This window comes from Homo sapiens, chromosome 1 (assembly GCF_000001405.40).
Source record: "Homo sapiens chromosome 1, GRCh38.p14 Primary Assembly".
Lineage (NCBI taxonomy): Eukaryota > Metazoa > Chordata > Mammalia > Primates > Hominidae > Homo > Homo sapiens.
In genome coordinates, this window is record NC_000001.11 from 120,049,012 (window position 1) to 120,069,825 (window position 20,814).

Sequence of the window (20,814 nt, forward strand, 5' to 3'; positions counted from 1 at the left end):
GAAATAGGCTCACCTATAAGCATCAATAAACAGTAGGACTGTTGTCAGGTTAACCCAGGACTATGCTCACTGAAATTCTACAAACAAAGGGGTTTTGCTTACTTTCTTCACAATATCCCCTCGCAACTTAAGCAGTGCCCAGCACACAATAGGTACATATATTTGTTGAATGAATGAAAACATCTGGAGGCTCACCTCTATGCAGTGGAGGTGCTGTGAAGAGATCCCAGCAACGCCTGCACAGCACCCCTGCCCAAAAATCCAAACACCTTGAGATTGTTGTAAGCCAGTGACTCTCAAAGTGTACTTTCCCAAACAGCAGCAGTATTACCTGGACGCTTTTTAGAAATGCAATCTACCAGGTCCCGCTCCAGACCTACCAGATCAGAAACTCTGGGGGTGAGCCCAGCAATCTGTATTCTAACAAGTCCTCCAAAACTTGATGTGCACTCAAGTTTGAAAACCAGCATTACAAACTGATGATTTAGGGACCAATAGCAATTCCAGGGAGCTACATGTACAATCAAACGGACTCCTGCAAAGTTTATTGATTCTAGGAATTAGTTACTTACCTAGTTCAACCCAGACTTTTCAGAGTTAGCTGCAACTTCCAAGGAAGTTACCAAGAATTGCTTCTCCTCTCTGCTTCTCCTTAGTGCACCAATAAAGCCTAATTGCTGCAAACTCTCTGAAACAACCACTCTAATATTCAGCACAAAGCCTGATTGCTAAAAAAATGCAAAACCTATTTGTTAAATGATCTTTTATCTAAGCACATTCCCTGGGCTCACACTATCCATACCAGAACTTCTGGAATGCAGGCTTACGGTGTTTTTTCAAACTCTACATTAGTTCTCAAAAAATGAACAAGGTCCCACAGCCAATCTGCATGCAGCAACTTTGCACCAAAGTTATAACAGTACTGATCTACCAATACCTTGCATTTCACTATTTGCCAAAACAACAAGACCTTATTTAGCATCAATTTTGTGTACATACACTTCAGAAAGAAGATAACCAGATATTAAAGATAACCAGATATTAAAACTCCAAAGTTAAGGTTTGTAATGTGTTGATAAATCAAACAACACATATTTGTATCACTAGATTGAGCCCAGTAATTTCTATAGAACCTTAATTTCCCAAAAGGTACCTTAATCAGACTCTAGTCAAACACAACAAGATTTAGAAAAAACACACTGTTTTTTATCAAAAGGCAGGAAAATATAACTGTCTTCTTTCTACTCTGGTAAAGGATTTCTAAATATACCTTCCAAGGGCAAAAGGGTGCCTTTGAAAAATAAGAAGATTCCTTATTTCTGTCAATAGAATAATGATCCAGTTATATACCAAAGAGCAGATAGAAGACCTGGCTTTGGAGTCATGTGACTCTGCATTAGATCTCATGGGGTCTCTGTCTCAGTCTCTACAAATAAAAACATGGCCTTGTCTCTATAAAAGATACAATGTACATAGAAGTGTTTTGCAAACTATTATATATTATCTTCTCAACATGCAAATTTATCCCTGTGAACTGATTCTTTCCCTCCCACTCACAGTGGCCAAAATAATTTATATTAGAATGTGTCCATAGGTGGCTTAATAGCAGTTGTGACAAAAGTGTAAACTAGAAAAGATACTGAATATTTACACACACATAAAGCAGCATGAAGCCACAGAAGGCTTCAAATGACAAAGAAATGAATTAGAAAAATCACCCACAGTACACTGGCCCTTCCTGGTTTTGGCAAGGATTTCAGCCAGAAAGACATGGTATTTAAGAAGAAAAATTAATAAAAAGAAAACATAAAATGAATTCTTTCAGAACTTCACAAAAGGTTATGTTTAAAAAGAAGTTTGGGAACAAGGGGATGCAGAGGGCTATGTTTTTTTCAGGTCTGACTTATCCTTTGCTATGGGTACACTGTCTTTTCATGTGGCCTCAAAGAAATAGTTGAGCCATTATTGTTGTTGATAATGACGAGCAGATGCTGATGGGATGATTGCACATCAACAGTTCTCAGACTCAGGTCTTGTGTAATTGGGTGTGTCAATCTATGTCACTCCACAGATGGTTATTAAACTAGTTACAACTTCCCTAAATCTTTTCACTAGATCTATGCAGCATTCTGGACAGCTATTCCTTGCCAACTGAGATTAGGCACTATTATAAAAAAAGTTTTGAAAAAACAATTCCAAGGTCTATTCCTCCTCCCAACACACACACACACACACACACACACACACACACACACACACACACGCACACACACACAGAGTTAAATCAGAGATACTTAATTCAGATATTCAAATTTTTTAATTTGAAATTTAAAATATTACCAAAGCCATAAATATTCCTTTAATGCAGTGAATGTAAGAAATCTATTAATTTCAACCTGTCTTGAATAAAAATTATAATACATATATAATTTTCTATGAAAAAATTGTATGTATTTTGGATAATCTATGTACCTCAGGAGTAGCCCTTCTATCAAAGCTCTTCTCAGGATGGTGGAGAATGGTGAATCTCAGCTCTCACAACATAAAAGTGCCAAATTCTTCTTAGTGAAAGAGGTGTATAGCCTTGATGTGCTAGATAAAAGTGGCCTTCAGAGAAGAAGCTCTCCACTGACCACGGGGCATGGTCAAATGTCCAGTTGGATTGCTGTGAGAGTCAAAATGATCCACTTGGCATTTTGTTGATATTGAGGTGTCAAACCTTTAACTAGTTGGCCACTCCTTCCAGTAAGCTTCTGTACACTGGACAACTGAAAGAAAGTTTGTTAAGAAGGCTCCCTTAAACAAAAGGTACAACTTATAAAATACACTGTTGTGGAAAGACAAGTATAGCTTCATTATCATATAGATGTAAACAAGGCAGAGACTAGGCTAAAATAAAGTGTAAAATGTGAGTTTGTTAATTTTTCTTTCCCCGTGAACATTTGGCAGAGTTAAAATTTTAGCCATCATACATTTTATTCCCTGAAATGTATCAAGTCACAGTTCCCACAGACTCTAGATACACATTTCCTTGTGGGTGTATGTGTAAAACTACCATAACAAAACATTTTCTATTTCCTCATTTTGATTAAAAGGAAAGAAGAAATGCTAAACTGCACTTACATAAGTGACAGTGCAATAGTGACACACCCATCTGTGTACACAATTTGTATTCTGTTTAAATTTAAAGTTATAATGATAAGGTGAGAAATGCTAAGAGCTAGGAAATAAAAATACACTTAGAAGCAGCCTATGTTGTACGCTCTTGAAAAACCTTAAGGAAGCTTTAAAGAGCAGCAAAATCACTTCAGGCCACTCAGGAAGAACTATGGCTTGAGACATTAAAAATGGCTGAGGAAAAATACTAAGAAATAGACATCAGAAAATTAAAAACGCCTGTAAACGAGGGTGACATTATAGACCCACTAGCAGGACATATGAAAGTTGTGATGAGTTAAGCTGAGTCAGACACATATTCCTGCCTATTTCACATGGATCAACATCCTGTCTAGGAACCAGGGACAACTGATTAACAATGTAAGCACAGAATAGCTTTAAGAAAAGCTAACTGACCCATCTGGGGAAAGAATACTCGAATTCTGCTCCATTTCTGTCATGCTCTGATGCAGCTAACCAAACAGAAATAAAGAGAATCCTTTCACATCATGAGAAATGAAATTCGGATTTAGGGACATTATAAAATTATGCGGTATCATGAAATAAGAACTGCTCTGGAAATCAGAACCTGGGTTCTAGCTCTGGCTTTTCCATATACTAACCATATGGTCTAAAGGAATTCCCTTAAGCTATTTGAGACTGATTATTTTCATCTGTAAAACTAAAATAATGTAACCAGCCCTCCATTCTTACCAGAGTTCATTTGTGGCCCAAATAAATCATGTCTATTAAGGTGATTACAACCTAGAAAGCATTATTTAATGTAAAATATTATTTTATAATAGCACAATTCCCAGTCTAAAAATCTGTGAAACAGAAAATCCTTACCATCTAACCCAGAAATGATAAATGATTACATGATTCAAATTAGATCACAAACACCTATATTATTATTAGATCCATTCCTCCAGCCCAAATGGGGGTGGTAAGTATACGTTGTTAGACCAGTGTAACTAACTTCAACAACTTTTTGTTTTGTTCTGTTTTGCAAATCCACCCAAGAATGCATTAACTTCAACAATTTTTTAAAAACAATTTCCACAATCCTCTCCTTGTGTCTCAACCATGCTCAGGAATTACAAGTACAATAATCTCCTCAACCTCCCCTAGCCTTTCCTAGCTCAGAAATCCGACATAGGCCACTTCGCATGCCTGATCAGATATGCTTTCCCAATGCTGAAAACCAACTGCTTCTAACATTTTAAACCTGATTTCCATGAAAACTCAGGGGTGAAAGAAACAAATAATCCAACCAAATCAGTTCCTTCTTATTGGAAGAGTTCTTCATCTTTAATCTGAAATCCTAAATAATTTTTTCTATGAATCAATTGCTTCTGAGATGAGAGGTACAAGACACTACAAACTATGACCACGCAAAAGATTTTTAAAAGCTTTTGATTCACAGTGAGTTAACCTACAAACTTGAAGTTACTAGACAATAGTACTTTTAGTCTACTCTTTAGGTGATCCATAATCTTGCGTTGGCCATGAAGCAGAGCCTAAAAGGAGTCATTAAAAGAAACTGAAACAAGGTCTAGAGACAAATGTTCCCAGGCTATATATTCCAAAGGAGGAATTACCATGAAAGTAATGAACTTTAAAGTTCAGGGGCCCCTACACTCGGGTGCCTATTCTGTGCCCAGAACCACGCAAGCACAATTAAATATGTTGCTTTCAATCTTTACAAACAATCCTGCAAGTTAGATATTACTATTATTCCCATTATATAAATACGGGTACTGAGACTTAAAGAAGTTAAGTGGCTTGTCTAATATTCTTAGCTAGTACAAATCAGAGCCCAGTCTCTCTGATTCCAAAACTCACCAGCTATGCTAAAGCAAAAATCAAAATGTAGTAGGGAAGGGTATCTAAAAGTCATTCTGAGAGATAATTAAAAATAAATAATGTTTGCTGTCACTTATCTCTTTTACCTTCTTTAATATCCCTTGGCATCCTCTCCTTCAACATTCAACTATTAACTAACACAACTAAAACCTAAGGAGGAAGTCCAGTATGTTTGAAAGAACCCACATGTCTGAGCATGCAGGTGAAGGACGGTGTTTTAAAATAGCAGGGATAATCTAAGATTAGGTATTGGTGTCAAACACACTTCTCTTATCTATTAGTACAGATGACCACCAGTTTTCAGTAACAAAAGATATGGTAATAAGAAAAAACAAATCCACAGAAAAGGAAAAAAACAAGCTTGTCTTTATGCTTGTTCTGTAATGATATGTGTAGAAATGCTACCCACAGTTAATTCCATAGTTCCTAAGCCAAGACAGGTTAGTACTGGGTAATTTTAATAATTGGCTATGTGCATTGTTCAGATGCTGAGGCATTCCAATCATTTTACATGGTCTCTTACATCACTTTCAGAATGGTACCATAAGAACACAACTGTACAGTCAAGAAAAAGTTATTTGTAACTAAAACGGCTGGCATCAAACATTTCTGAACATAAATCTGGCTCTGAATTGCTAGTTACAATCTCTCTCAATTTTTTATTTAAAAAAATCCACACATTCATTCCTGGTCTTGATCTACTAAAGAATTTCTTTTGGGATCAAAAAGTAACAGGAAAGAATGCTAACCAACTTTCCTTGGATTATAACAAACATAATTCCATTCTTCTTCCCAGTTACAAAAAGATTTAAAAGAACTACAACTCTTCAAAATGGAAGTTTGCAATTTAGATCATTCTCCTATTATGCAAATGTTCATTCAGAATTAAAATATTGTTTTAAAAAGTAAAATGTAAGTCAGTCTAGTGCACAAAATGTTTACATTAAATACAAAATTACACTATCTAAGGGACTACAGGATTCCACCAGACAATGGTATTATTTATTATGGTTAAGTATGTTGGCTTTGGATCAGGAAAGAGGGGTTCCAGTGACTGTTCTTTACCACTGACTGGCTAGGTGATCTGGATGAACATTCCTTAACTTTTCTGTAAACAAGAATCCTAACATCTATTTTAAGGACTAAAGGAAACAAGTAAAGTATTTTGTCCCCAAGCATCTGTCACATAATAAACCCTCAGAATATGGAAGCTACTGATAGTCACATAAACTTCATGAAAACAGAAACATTCATCTGTTTTGTTCACTCTATTAACAAGGAGGCATGGCTTGATCAGTATTCATGCAAATACTTCCAGTTCCTCCAAAGTGACATTCATATTTATCTATATTAACTACATCCAAATTCTGCTATCCTTCGTGTATACTTCTCTTTTATTATAAGCAGCTTCAGCTACTTTTATGGAAAGATTTAAATTATTGGAAAATATTTTAAGGGTATTTAAGTTAACATATGGACCATTTACATATTCTATAAACTGTGTGCTTACACGTAATTATAAATATCTCAGACTGTAAAAGAAAACCTTCCATAATGTTCCCACAATGGAAAAATAAAGTCTTAGAAATAATTATAGAGGGAGCAGAAGGGAGTGGCAGGTAGAGGATAACTTACTAAATCGGCAAAATAAAATTTGGAATTTTTTCTTAAAACAAAACAAAATAAAAACCTGACAACCCTTGTTCAAGGCTGCCAAAACTTGAGAAGAAGCAAACTGTCAAGGGAAACAAATGTTAAAATATAAAGCCCTTTTCTGAGAAAGTAACTCCACCAGTCCAGGTTAATCCAATTCTGAATCACTAATGACACCAGACCTGCCGGGTTGTCTCAACTACTACAAAGAAGTCCAAAGGGACAGGCAGAGGTTCACAGGCAAATTATTTTCACTGCTGTCATTGAAATTTTAAATATAGCCACACCTCTCCCATCCCAACACCCTTTCTACTCCTCTACTGTTGTTGACTGGCACTAACCCTTTTCAGACCTCAAAAAACAAGGGCCGACATATTGATACATAATTTGAGTACTGAGCATAGTGGAAAAATCACTTGACTAAAAGTCAAGAGATTGGATTCTGGCCCCAACCCTGACCCAGCTCTAGGTACTTGGGCCAGTCACTTTGCTTCTTTGGTTTTCTCTCTTTAAAACAAGGATGGATTAGATGGGTGGTTCCCCACACAAGATCCCAAAATCTCCAGGAGCCCCTGAGGTTGTAATAAAAGACAATGGGATATTTTTATTATTTCAAAATGTCTAACAGAGATAGTTCGTTAACTGCTTTAAGGCTAATTAAAACACCAAGTATTTTGGCTTCACATTAGTACTCTGCATGGTGACACTGGATGGCATGTGATTATGTTTGTCATATCATAGGAAATTTGGAAACAAGAGTGTTAGACCTGATACTGTTCTCAAAGCTGTACCTCAGAAAATCACAATATCTTTACTAAACATAACATCCAATCACAAATGTGTGGTTAATAAAAAATGGGAAAATGATTTAACACCTATCAATGCAATTTGCATAATACAAGCATACCTTTGTGATATTGTGGCTTCAGCTCCAGATCACCTCAATAAAGCAAACAGTACAATGAAGCAAGTCAGAAATTTTTTGGTTCCCCAGTGCATACAAAAGTTATGTTTACAGTATACTCTAGTCCATTAAGCATGCAACAGCATTATGTCTAAAGCATAATGCATATACCTGAGTTTAAAAATACTTTATTGCTAAAAAATACTGACACAGGGACATATAGTGAGTATATGCTATTGGAAAAAATGGTGCTGATACATTTGCTCGACATAGGGTTGCCACAAACTTTCAATTTGTAAAAAATAAAACAAAATCTGTGAAGCACAATAAAAGGGAACACACAATAAAATAAGGTATGCCTATAGATAAAATCTCCCCAAACTGAAAGTGTACCTCATTAAGGGAAGAGACTCAAATATGAAACCCTTAAATAATTATTAGATCACAGGAAACCAGTGAACAATCCACAGGTTGCAAAGATGATGTTCCTATTTCCTCATGAAGGTTCCCAATCACTCATCCACTTTTGATTAAAGAAAAGTGAATGCACCAAGAAGCCAGTCTGTACTACAACATAAAATAACACCAATACCAACAATAACTACTATTTACTGCACTTTAACTATGTGCCTGGTACTGTCCAATGAATCTAACATTTATTAACTGATATTATCTTCATAACAACTCCAAAATATACTGCTACTATCTTTATTTTTAAAATAATAAAATTGAGGCACACCATGCTTCAGAAACTAGCCCAAAGACACGGGGCTAGTAAATTTAGAGCAAGGCTTGTATGTTTTCCAACCTTCTCCCCACCAAAGCTGGTATCTGCCTTTCAAAAAGATGTCTCCATAAATACAAACAGGAATGCCCCAAGCAGAGCCCAGAGGAGAAGGGCCATTGCTCCTGAGAGCAGTCCTCTGAAGAGTTCATCACTGTGGCCCTTTTCGGCTTAAAGATTCATCCTTAATGGAAACTCCCCTCTTTTCCCTCCAAATTATATTTGCTTGTCCTGGTAATGGAAATCAACTGATAGAAGGTTAAAAGCCATCAATGTATCGGTCAGCTAATGTCCATCCACTTCTTACTTATTCAGAAGATACAAAAGAGTTCTAACTGGCTGACCCTTCAAAGAAGGTAGTTTTTCAAATTAATTTTTACTTATACATATCATAAAAATAGGCATCTGCAGTATCCTGGAATGAGTGAGGGTTATGGAGACAGATCTAGCTCTGAATCTCGACTAAGCCACTTACTAACTGCATTATCCTGTGCAAGTTAGAAGCCCCAGTTTCCCTAAATACCTACCCCTGTCTCTTAGGGTTGTTGCAAAGTGTTAAGTGTATGAATGTACATAAAACACCATGATTTATTGCAGCGGCCCTAGAGCCAGACAGGGGTTTGAATCCTGGCTACACCCCTCACTAACCATAGGCCAACATCCAAAGCTGTGAACCTAAGTTCCAAATTCCTTACCTATAATGTAGAAAAATATTGTCTACTCCAAAGGATAGCCATATGAATTAAATAAAGCAATATTTGCAAAGCCCCTAGCAGAATGATAGACACATAATAATAAAAATCAAAAAAGAAAAAAAAATCTGATGTTTAAAAAATCAAGCTGCAAGGACCAGGCACGGTGGCTCACGCCTGTAATCCCAGCACTTTGGGAGGCTGAGGCGGGCGGATCACCTGAGGTCAGGAGTACGAGACCAGCCTGCCCAACATAGAGAAACCCCGTCTCTACTAAAACTACAAAAAATTAGCCAGGCGTTGTGGTGCATGCCTGTAATTCCAGCTACTCGGGAGGCTGAGGCAGGAGAATCACTTGAACCCGGGAGGTGGAGGTTGCGGTGAGCCAAGATTGCGCCATTGCACTCCAGCCTGGGCAACAAGAGCAAAACTCCAACTCAAAAAAAAAGAAAAATCAAGCCACAAGTTTAAGTACCAGCTCTGTCACTTATTATGTAGGGGTAAACAATGTATACAAGTCACCTAACCCCTGTGAGGCTCCATTTCCACCAAGTTTGTGAGGATTAAAGGAGATCACTGTGTAAGAATACTCTATAAATTATAAATTTCCAACAGAAATGTTGGAGGTTGTTTGATTCTACAGAAGTAATTTTTATATTAATTGTATTTACTGGTCCTTCCAAACAATATCTTCATCTTTAAAATGGAAAAAACTGAGGCAGAGAAATGTTGAGCCATAGAGGGAAGGCTACTGGTTTGAAATGTAGGGTGGAGACAAGGGCTGGGCCAAAATAAATTTAGACCAGGACAAAGCAGAAAATTTCTGAAAGCTTCAAAGGAGAAAAATGAGAATACTCATCAACCTATGTTTTTAATCAACAGCTTCACCTGCTGGTTAAGCCTCTCAGTGCACAGTGTGGGCATAATAATTCTCTTACTTCCTCCCAGAAACAGTATTAGACTTCAGAGTGAGAAAGAACTTCACTATCAAATCTCTTTTCCTATTCATAAATTAATTTTGGGATGGGGCACAGAAACAAAGACCAGTGGACATAAATTTGAGTCTCGGTCTAACTGGCGTTTTCTGAACTACACCATTAAAAAAAAAAAAAAAGAAAATATTGTAATCCTTCAAATAGGTTTCCTTCCTTGGTTGATCAGAAATGTCCTCATTCCCCAGGTCTCTTCATGCTAAATATGGTAATAGCTGGCAGACAGCCAGCCCAGTAAATTCCAATGATACTTAAGAAAGCATTCATATGGCCTGAAATTACTCTGAACCAAACACTTGAGACCTGCAGGGCTTCAGCATAGAGCAGTTCAGCTGGAGCAACGAATGTCAAAACCAGCGGGGTGCCTTAAAAACACAAAAGCTTGGAAAAAAAGCAATCTACTCTTCTTTATTGCTACATTCTTTAGCAACAACATTGATCTCCTACCCACTGTGCACACAGCACTGCACTAGGGCAGTGAGAGGCTGGACAGAGGAATGGAAGAAACAGGTGGTGTCCATGGGTTGCCAAAACAACAGGTTGCTTCAGTCAGTTCTGTCCTACAACTAATCAATTTGGTGAGGAAAGGGGGAGAGAATCTTAGTCATCTTGTTCTCTGACCAAGCTAACTGGCTAGACCCACTGTACTGGCATTTATCCATTAGGTCAAAGTGTCAGAATTAGCAGTGCATGGTAGACATAGCATTAGTCCTGCCTTTCAGGGATGTTAAATGCTTCAAAAATCTTGGCTATCTAGAAAAGGAGGACAGTAGCCGATTACGTCACCCACCCAAAATCATGTATTTGACTCCAGAATACACTGCTTTTCTCCAACATATTTTTTTATTAAGTATTAAAGTAAATGTCAATTTCCTAGACATATACAGCTGAAAGCATGCTGATTTACGATACAGTCAGATAAGAACTTTCAAGTAGCTACAGAAAATAGCAGTTAACAAATGAATTAACCAATATCATTAGAAACCAAAGGATTAAAAAAATTAACCTATGAAATGAACAATTTTTATATCAACATTGGTAGCAATTTGATGTTATGTTATATACTGCTAATTATTTCCATACATATTGTGACATATTTAAGACAAAAGACTAACACCCTTAATATTTAAAGAGCTTTTTCAAACCAGTAAGAAAATAATTAAATGAGTAAAAGACACAATTTACCAAAAGAAGTAGAAAAAAAGGCAATACAAACGCCACTGATGATATGAAAAAACATTCAATATCACTGTAATGAGAGAGGCATATTAAGATTAAGTAATATTTACCACTTATCAAATGGTAAAGATTTTTAAAAATAAAACCTAGTGTTGACAATAGTATATTATGTGTGTGTGCATATATATATATGTAGATCTGTTCATAAACTAAATATATATATATATATATATAAAAATAAATCAACAGCTTTTCTAAATCTAAGGGTAAAAAAACCAAAGACGTATACCAAAAAATTAATGGCAGCATGATTGTGGACATTTTATTTATGCTTTTCTAGATTCTTCAAACATCCTTAACTACTTTTTCAAACATAATTACTTTTTATTTTACAAAAATAAAAAAATCTTGTAAAGGTGCCAGAGAAAATCAGCAAAGTATAAATACGAGTTAATTATCTGTAAACATAACGAATAATTCTGTTGCTACGTAAACCTACCTTAAACTGTTTCAATGTTTGTTTTTAGTTACAACTATTTTCCTTAACTCTCTTAGAAAGAATATGTCAGAGAAGCCACTACATATTACTTACTTTAAATAGTAACATAATGCCAAAGACTTGCATGAATCTCAGGATACGGTCTTTTACCTAAAATTCCTCATGAAGATTAGAATGCACTTTAAATGTTGTAATAAAGTAAATGCCCTTAATGTTTCTAACTAAAGAAGATCTAGCAAATAAATAAACCCATATTCACAGCAAATAAAAATATAATAAAATAATCGAAATACACATGTCCTCAAACTTCAATGTGTCTTGACAGCGTCTGAACCAAAGCATGTGTAAGGAGAGAATTAAACAAAAATGTCTTTGCTACTTACCACATTTACCATTTAGAGAAGTTGATATATCAGCACTATCTAGTTTTGTGATTATTCATACTTAGAAACTCAACAGAACAGATTAGTGAGTAAACAGTATTCAATTATTCTTATTTGAATGTTGGTTAGGTATACCAATAGAACAACCTCTCCCTGCTAGGTACCCGTTAAAATAGATTATTGAAAATATTTGAAGCTTAAAAACTTACAGAATCTTCTCACAAAAAAAAAGATGAAAATAAAAAGAGATGAAAAAGAAGCAAACAACAATTTTAAAACGTGCCTGCCTCAGAACAAGGCAGTTTATTTTAGAATGTAACCACAGCTTCTTGTACAACACCTTATTCATCAAGCACAACTGTATTTTAAAGGAATGCTATTTGTTAAAAAGACAACATATTTAGGATAAGGTATCTAACTCCAACCACAATATTATCATCATGTTTTCCTTACTTCACAAAATACACACATACATTCATCATATGAATAAACATATATAATAAGGGTGAGAGAGCTACTCTTAACCCAGAAACAGGTTCTGCAACACCCATAGATCCAACCTGTCTTTATGCAACAATGAGTCCATCTTGGCAAGATGTTTGGCTGATGTATTCAAATAACCCAGAGTTCTGCCAGCTGCCAGTATCCTGCAGAAGGAACTGACTCGGAGACCAGAAACTGCCCTAGGCAAGCCTCCAGGGAAAGGTGCTTCAGTCCAATGGGAAGAAAAACCCAGCCCCTCACTGCCTGGCCAGAGGACCCGGGGTACCATGGCTGGAGCGACGTAGCTGGCTGGAAATGCGAGAGGGGCAAGGGACACTAAGGTGAACCCCCAAGAGCTTGTTCAATCATACCTAGTAAAGGCCAAACTATTGGGGAGCTAGTAGAACAGGGTTTTGCCAAGACAAGTACAAAAGGGTGAGGGAGATATTAGTATGATTAATCAATGCCACCTGAGGCAGCAACTCTGGGTGTGTCCACACCACACTTCAGTCACTGCCTGGCTGTGACGAGAAGTTCCTTCAGCCACTGCCACTGAGAACTGCATCTTCCAAGGAAGATATCTCCACCATAACTTGTCCTAGTTCAGGCTTGGCATTCGGGACTAAGAACACAGCACTCTCTCTTGCCGCAAACCCACTAACAGACATAATAGACACCACAACATGTGCCAAATTTATATTTACACCCTCACCAGACAAAGGGGTTTTTGTCTTTTCCCCAAGCCAAGTTCTAATACTTCTAAATTACAACACAGAAAGAGGAAAATGGCAGACAGCTCACGACAGCAGACAAGCCCAGCAAGGGTGAGCTGGAGGTCGCCTTTCCCTGGTGGTATTAAGACCTGAAGTTTACTCCCAAGACCCTATAGCTCCGAGTCACCCTGACTGCAGGAAACTGCTTTCAGAGAGCATAGATAAATGATAAAATAACTGTATTTCATATTCCTAATTGTGTGCTTATCTGTCTTGTCTCCATGATGATGTCAGCTCCTTGGGAGCAGGACCATATTTTCTACTTGGTCAATGATTCCCACACATCTAGAAGAGGAGAATACCCTGTACTTGCTACCACATGATGCCAAGGGAAGCACACAAATTAAGTGTGACAACACACCACAATGCTCCCCCAATACACCACTAAGACAGCAGAGCTACAAAGATAGCAAATGTTAGTGCCAAGGGCTAGTGATCCTACCAGTGAATTACATGGAAACCTATGTATTTACATACACAAGTTAATACAATAATTCCTTTGCTTTTCTTATTCCAAGCTATGGCTTTATCATCCCCCTTTCTTGGCTTTACTCTCCTTTTTAAGACCACAACGTATGTTCTGCCATACAGATAATATTCTCCTCAAAAAAGAGAGACAGGAGAAAAAACAGATCTACGGCAAACCTCCTACCACTACCAGTGATGCAGTTTGTCCCGTCTCAAGCCTATGAGCATATCCTTTCAGATCTGAAGCCACTTCCTTCTTCCTATCAAGGACAGTATTATCAAGTGTCTTTGTGAGAGGAGCAATCCTGTGCCCCTTCTTGCAGATTGTTTTGTTCTGCTCAAGAAGCCCTAGATTCCTCCTTTATTTTCCTTTCCTTATTTCATTTGCTGCAGCAGCCCAGAAACCCCAAAAGCAGGACTGCCAGAAATGAGTGACCTTTATATCTCTCCACACTAACACATCTGAGGGAAACTGCCGACACCAAATATGTGTTCATGAGCTAATGAAGCAGAAATCCTCAAAGGAAGCACCATTTGCAACGGCTGAGGACAGAATTCTTTAGTGGACACCAAAAAGGCTGTGGAACTCCTATGCATTCTAACATCTCAGGTAACATTCTAATGGAGGAATAAGGAGGCTTACAACAAAGTCATACAACACAAACAGAAGTCTGAAAATGCTGGATTTCGCAAATTTCTTTTAAGACAAAACAACTTTACTAACCTTATACCATAGCAGCTTTCTTCTCTGTACTAAGTGAGGCCAGCAAGTAGGAGGCATTTCCAAGGGGGAAAAATGACCACAGGATCTAGCCAAAGCAACCTGTCTCTAATACTCTCAAAAAACAAACAAACAAAAACACTTTGATTTCCCAGATTCACTCTGCAGTGATTCTAAAACTTTCCTAATGTAAGAATCACCTGGCTATTTCTTGAACACACAAATTCCCAGATGACACTCCAGATGCACTGAATCAGAATCTCCATGAGAACACCTGAGCTATTCTTATCATAAGAGAGGTTAGGGAAACACTGCTTGATAAATGTTATTCTCCCACCAGTGCCCACCTGTGCAGGGAGGTATGAAACAAGTAGGGCTAAGATGCTTTACCTGAGCAATCACCTCAGACATGCTCCTCACTGGGTTTGACTCCTTTTATGGAGAGCTGGGTGTCAGCTCAGTAAAGTCTACAGACAAGCATCTCTTTGGGTCCCTATCACCTGCACAGGTCTCAGGACTCTGAGACAAATTTCTGAGTAGATGTCAATGAGGACAAGTCATGAGGAGACGGATTACAGCTGAATATAAGAAGATCTTTCTAAGAATTAGAGCTGGCCAAAGATGGAATAAACTGCTGTGGAGAGCTGTCTACCACAAGAGATGTTCAAGAAGAGAGAAAATATGGTACCTCTTGACTAGAATGTTGTAAACATCAGATCCAGCATGGGATGGACAGAAAGACTAGATGAATTTTAAAGTTCCCGCCAATGCATAAGTCAACAAAGAGGAAAATTTCAGCCACTCCTTAATTAATTAAAAGAGATAGCAAAAAAAGTCTGTGGGTGGGGTCAGCTTTCAACTGATCCTATCTCTTCAAAGGAAAAAAGAACATAGAAACACACTCCAACTCACCATCAGCCTCTCCTATAGAATGTTCTAAAGGTGGGAAAGCAGGAGTCATAGATGCTGTGACTAAGACCTGCTGCTCAGTTGACTCTGAATTTGGGGCACATGCCAGACAAGTTCTGTAGTACAGAGAAGAAATGTGTGTAGCACAGACCTGGCCCTCAAGGATCAAAATCATGTGGCAGAGACAACTCAACACCATGTGATTCTCTCAAATATTTATTCATCATATTTCATCTTTAGTTTTTGTCAGTAGGGTGTTCAGGGGACTCTCTTGGTTCAAAAAAAAAAAAAAGCAAATATACTTTACTAAATGTACATATTCTCTCAATCCAGTACAAGTTTGCAATATCCAACTCAATGAAAAAAATCTCAAAAAAAATTATCAAAATAAATATAAACTTAGTTAACTCTAATTTTAAAAATAGTATTCCAAAAATGACTAGTCCCCAAAATGATGAAATTACAATAAGGTGTGGCTATTCTGGACAAAATAACAGAAATTGCTGGCCTAGTAATACAGTAATACAGGAAGCAGTGGAAGCAAACTTGAGTGAGAGGCAGGGGGTGGATGGCAGTGCCTTTGAAGTGAGATTCCAAAGTCAAAGTGACCTTTATAAATTGCAGAAGTGATCAGAAAAAGAAAGAAAGAAACCCCACACACAAAGAAATTCAAAATTACAAGTTAAAATGAAACATCTGGGGAAGGGAAAAATTTGGTTTTTCCCCAAATGTAAGGTAAGCATGACTCCTGCAAATACTGTTTTTAAAATGTCTAGGAGTACCACAGTTGTCCAAAATAAGAAAATGGCTAAAAATAATTGTTCGACTGAACAAGTATTTATTGTGTGCCTATTAGATACCAAGGCATCATGCCAGGTACAGGGGTAGGGTATGGGCATTAGAATAAACACATAAATGAAAATACACGATTCCTTCCTCATGTACGCATTAACAATAAGCACTTGAGGATGTTATAAGAGTTTTTGTGCACATAAGCGCATTTGTACACGAGATGGAAGCAATGAGGACAGTGAATGAGGCACTGGACACCAGAAGAAAGGAATTCTAGTCTCAACTCTAATTGGCTCTGTGACCATGAACAATGAACATCAGAAAATGGAGGACGGAAACAGTGGCTCTCCTACAAGGTCACCAAACCAATTAATAACAGACCTGGAGAAGAATTCTGGTCTTCTGGCTCCTAGTTCAGTGATCTGTCCAAAATACTACACATACGGTAGGCTGACAAAGAAAGAAAAGAAGACCTTTTGGTTTCAAGTCATTTGCAGAGAAAGGGGGAGAAACAAAAACAGGAAAATCAGGAAAGGGTGGAAGGAAAATCAATAGTTCAAATTTAGGCATTCGAACTGAGACATCAAGAAAGGAAGCATGTAACTATGGACTGTGAACACAATATAAAGAAAATGATGTAAAATTTCTTATATCCTTATTCAAATCACGCCTTGCAGTTTTTTACTCTAAAATCATTGCAGACGTATATAGATAAAGGGTCAAAAAACAACATGTATGAATGACATTTAAGGAAAAAGAGATAACAGAAGAAAAGGGAAAAGGAGAGGTGGAGAATTTATTATATCATCTAAATATATGAAGCCCTTCTAAAGGGTCAATGCAGACATATTGCACCCAGATAAATAGAAGAAATGACATTATATTCTATATCTCTTACGTTAGCAATTTTTAAATTCCTTGAGTCAGAAGCGTTAAACACTGGAATGACTAAGGTTACATTTGTTATGGAAATTTCTTAAATTTAGAAAGACCTCATACACACACCTGAAGGTAAAAAAAAATGTACTTAATCAGTGGGTTGCAACCAAGTTACTTGTCAGAATCACCTGTAAACCTTGAAAAAATATGGATTCTCAAACTTACCTTATCAGAATCCCTGGGTGCTGAGTCCAAGATCCACCCCAACAGATTTTGATGTAGCCAGGACACAGAGTTTTTTCTACCATAATGGGAGAGGTAGGGAGGAGGATCACTAGGAATGGCAACACAGAGTGGGAACTAGATCAATGCAAATTTTGTGGGCAAAATAGAATTTCTGTGGGTGTGATATTTTTAAGATGTATTGTAAGGCTGCTCTGAACCATCCAAGCATATCCCACTGAATTTAAACATTCTCTAAAGGTCCTGAAGTCAGCAACTACAATCCAGGTGAACCAAAAGTTGCTCCTCTATGTCATAGAAGCCTACAGGAGAGGCAGTAGGGTGGGAATGGAGCAGAGAGATCCCAAGAAGTTATGGGTAAATATTTTTTAAATCTAAACATTCAGAAAAATAAGAGAGACTAGGAATCACTCTCCTCCTCCTCTCCACCACACCAAAAAAAAAGGAATAATAAGAAAGTGAAAGGAAAAATAGTTTTAGGTTAAATTTCATCACCATCTGAAAGAAAATTACTCCGATTTTGTTTAAGCAAGAGAAGAATTCAGCTGAGAAATTATCTAGCAGGCAGCAAAATCAGGGAGTCACTTCCCATTGCAAAGCAAAAGAAAACAAGGAGCAAGAGGATGGTCCTGGATAGCTGTTTAGACAATCAGACATACTGCTAACATCTCCTTGCCTTAGAAACTCCGTGATGTTTAAATTAACAATTGGCCACAAGCCAAACACAGGAACACTCAAAAGTTTAGAAGGGTGTGCTGCAACTGGTACCTTAGCAAAACACAATAATAAATTAAGAGGATTCAAGAAGCCTTCACTGTAGACTCTAAGAAGATTTAAGATTTGTACCGAGAAACGGCTTCTAAATCTCTTCTACTGCATTAGTTTAGCATCTAAAGAACACCTGTCTAAAAATCAAAATATCTAAATCCTATCCTTTGAGTCAACTTGACTAACACTCAACTTGACTACCTAAAAGCTAGCTAATAATCGCAGCACCTCAGCAGAGCAGAGGTGGAGGGCATAGTTTTATGCACTGAGATCCTATAATAAAAGAAGCCCTATGTGTCAGAGTAATCCCATTTCTGATATCATATTATTTAATACTTAATTTTTCAAATCACTTTACAATTATATTTATTATTCCCTACAATTCTCTAAAGCAGGTTATTCCTTTAGTCCTGCTTCATAGGTGAGGAGACTACATATCATGAAGATTAAGTTATTTACCAAAACAAGTTAATGATAGACCAAGGATTATTACCCTCAGACTGTCTCATTGATCATACTCCTCTCTATCCTAAAGCTACACTTAAAGCTTTCACTCAAAGAAAAAGGAAAAGCAAAAACACCATCATATATGCTCTTTATTAAATGCTTCAGAAACAACGGCTCTGCTTCATCACTACAAAGCCTCCTGGTCCACTTCTGAAATTCTTAGTGACCTAGACGTGTACGAAATTTGAACTTTCCAAGAAGTATCTAGTTGGTGCTGAACAACCCAGTACTATTTTCGGGTGATAAATAACCTTGTTCTCTTTTTAAACATCTGCGATTGACATGTCGACTGACTGTTAACAATGAACAAAGACCATATTTTTCTGAAGCTCATCATCTTCCTAACCTTTTCTTTGAAAACAGATGTAGTTCATGTACTAGTTTTTTGGTGAAGGTAAAAATCTTTATTCAGATTAGGCTCAGAAAAAGAAGGGGCTGCTTTCCGTTCAACAAATATGCACAAGACAGCATCCCACTGGGAGCATCAATCTCAGAAGCAGTAAAACACAGCCTCGGCCCTGAAAGGACTTTCTGAACACCTTTGGAGTGTCATCCGTTTAATATACATTATTTTAATTAATCCTATTAGCTGGATAATTTCTTTCCCATTTTATTGGTGAGTTCATATAGCAGAGCTGGATTTGAATCCAGGATTACAGAGCAGGGCTCCAAAGCCCAAGTTATTTCCACTAAAGGGTCTGAAGAAATGTAGAATCTAAAAGTGTGGGTGGGATGGGGAAGATATGATTTGATTCCCTTTCCTTGGTCCAACCGTGTTAGAAACATCCAACCATAAAGAAGCTTTCTAAGGAAGCCCTTTGAATTAACGTATCCACTTTTTCTCACCCGCCCGTGCCCCACCCCCAGCCATGCCAAAGGAGCAGCAAATGCTGCTGCCAGGTTGGAGGAATTGGTGATCGTCACACCACATTCCTGGGTCTGGACACAGCCTGAAACAGCAGCAGAGCTCCGCGCCTCGGAAAGAATAACAGCAGTTGAGATTTTTAAATCATGTGCCTCAGCATGCAGCCACACCAGTTGCCCTACTTCTCCTGCCTCCACCTTTCAAAGACGCGAGCAGCACACACGGCTCCCCCGGACTTTCGGTGGGGTTGGAGTGTCAAAACTCAGGCGCGCCGCAAAACCCCGTCCCCATCCAAACCAAGCCCACACACCCGGCCCATGTGCCGCCCCCTGGCAAAGGCGAGGCTGGCTGCGACGGTGCAGGCCGTTTGGCTTGGCGGCCCTGCCCCCGCTCTCCACGCCAGAATCTGGCATTCCTTCGCTCAGCCCCTCCGAGGCCCGCCGTCGGCTCTCGCTCGACCCCAAGAAACGCGGAACCTGAAGGGCAAAACTGCCCACCTCCCTGCACCCTGGCACTACGAAAAAGGAGTTTCTGAGACTTGCTGCCGGCCTCCCTCCTGCCGAGGAGGCGTGTAAGGGGTCCCGGGCCGCGGGGAGCAGAGGCGGCGGGGAACCCCGGCGGTTGGCGGGGCACCACGGGAGGGGCCCCCGGCGATGTCCAAACTCTTGGGAACCCAGCGAGTGGCCTCGCTCCGCGCCGGCGGCCGAGCCTGGCCTTCCCACACAGAGAAGGACCGAGGGGGAGAAGGGTCGCCCCAGGTGGCAGCCCCGGGCGCCGCGGACAGCGCCCCTCAGCCCGATACTCACCATGCGCGGGGGCCGCGCAGCACAGCCAGAGCGCCAGCAGCGCCCACAGCAGAGCGGGGCGCAGGGCGGGCATCTTCTCGGTCGCCTCCTCCTCCGCCGCCGCCGCCGCCGCCTGGGCAGATCCACATGGGGAGGGGGTCCCGATAGAGGAGCCCCACTCTCTCCTCCCCTCCTCCTGCTTCAAAGGCTCAGGCCCTGGCGCTACGCTCCGAAGCCCAGGCGCAAATGCCTCGACTCCCCGCGCCCCGAGTCCGCCGCTCCTCGGCCGCCGCCTCAGCCGCCGCCCGAAGTTTGGCTGAAACTTTCTCGGGTGTGCAACGAAGCAGCCTCGTGTGTCCTTCCGCCTCAGCCGCCTCCTCCCACCGCAAGCCCCGCCCCACTGTCGCCGCGGCCTCGGCCCCGCCGCCTTGGGCACCCAGGGGTTTCCCGCAGGAAGAAGCGCCGGCCCGAGCTCCGCGCGGAGGGATCTACTACGAGTCACTGGCCCCGTCC

The 20,814-nt window shown here is 39.2% G+C and overlaps 1 protein-coding gene across 2 annotated transcripts in view, besides 3 other annotated features; it reads right to left on the reverse strand.

Annotated features, from left to right (window-relative positions):
- The window catches only part of NOTCH2 (notch receptor 2), a 158,110-nt gene extending 137,459 nt beyond the window's left edge, over positions 1-20,651 (reverse strand). For both annotated transcript variants that reach the window (NM_024408.4, NM_001200001.2), the window contains exon 1: positions 20,323-20,651. In NM_024408.4, the coding sequence (NP_077719.2) occupies positions 20,323-20,395 (73 nt within the window). In that variant the 5' untranslated portion in view covers positions 20,396-20,651. The remainder of the gene's footprint in view (positions 1-20,322) is intronic.
- Positions 9,941-10,623: an enhancer, noted in NCBI's record as "OCT4-NANOG-H3K27ac-H3K4me1 hESC enhancer chr1:120601566-120602248 (GRCh37/hg19 assembly coordinates)". NCBI's record gives its function as "activates a minimal SCP1, AML or CMV promoter by ChIP-STARR-seq in naive and primed H9 embryonic stem cells {active_cell/tissue: H9 hESC(naive and primed)}" and the evidence as "EXISTENCE:reporter gene assay evidence [ECO:0000049][PMID:30033119]".
- Positions 10,624-11,305: an enhancer, noted in NCBI's record as "OCT4-NANOG-H3K27ac-H3K4me1 hESC enhancer chr1:120602249-120602930 (GRCh37/hg19 assembly coordinates)". NCBI's record gives its function as "activates a minimal SCP1, AML or CMV promoter by ChIP-STARR-seq in primed H9 embryonic stem cells {active_cell/tissue: H9 hESC(primed)}" and the evidence as "EXISTENCE:reporter gene assay evidence [ECO:0000049][PMID:30033119]".
- Positions 12,382-12,919: an enhancer, noted in NCBI's record as "H3K27ac-H3K4me1 hESC enhancer chr1:120604007-120604544 (GRCh37/hg19 assembly coordinates)". NCBI's record gives its function as "activates a minimal SCP1, AML or CMV promoter by ChIP-STARR-seq in naive H9 embryonic stem cells {active_cell/tissue: H9 hESC(naive)}" and the evidence as "EXISTENCE:reporter gene assay evidence [ECO:0000049][PMID:30033119]".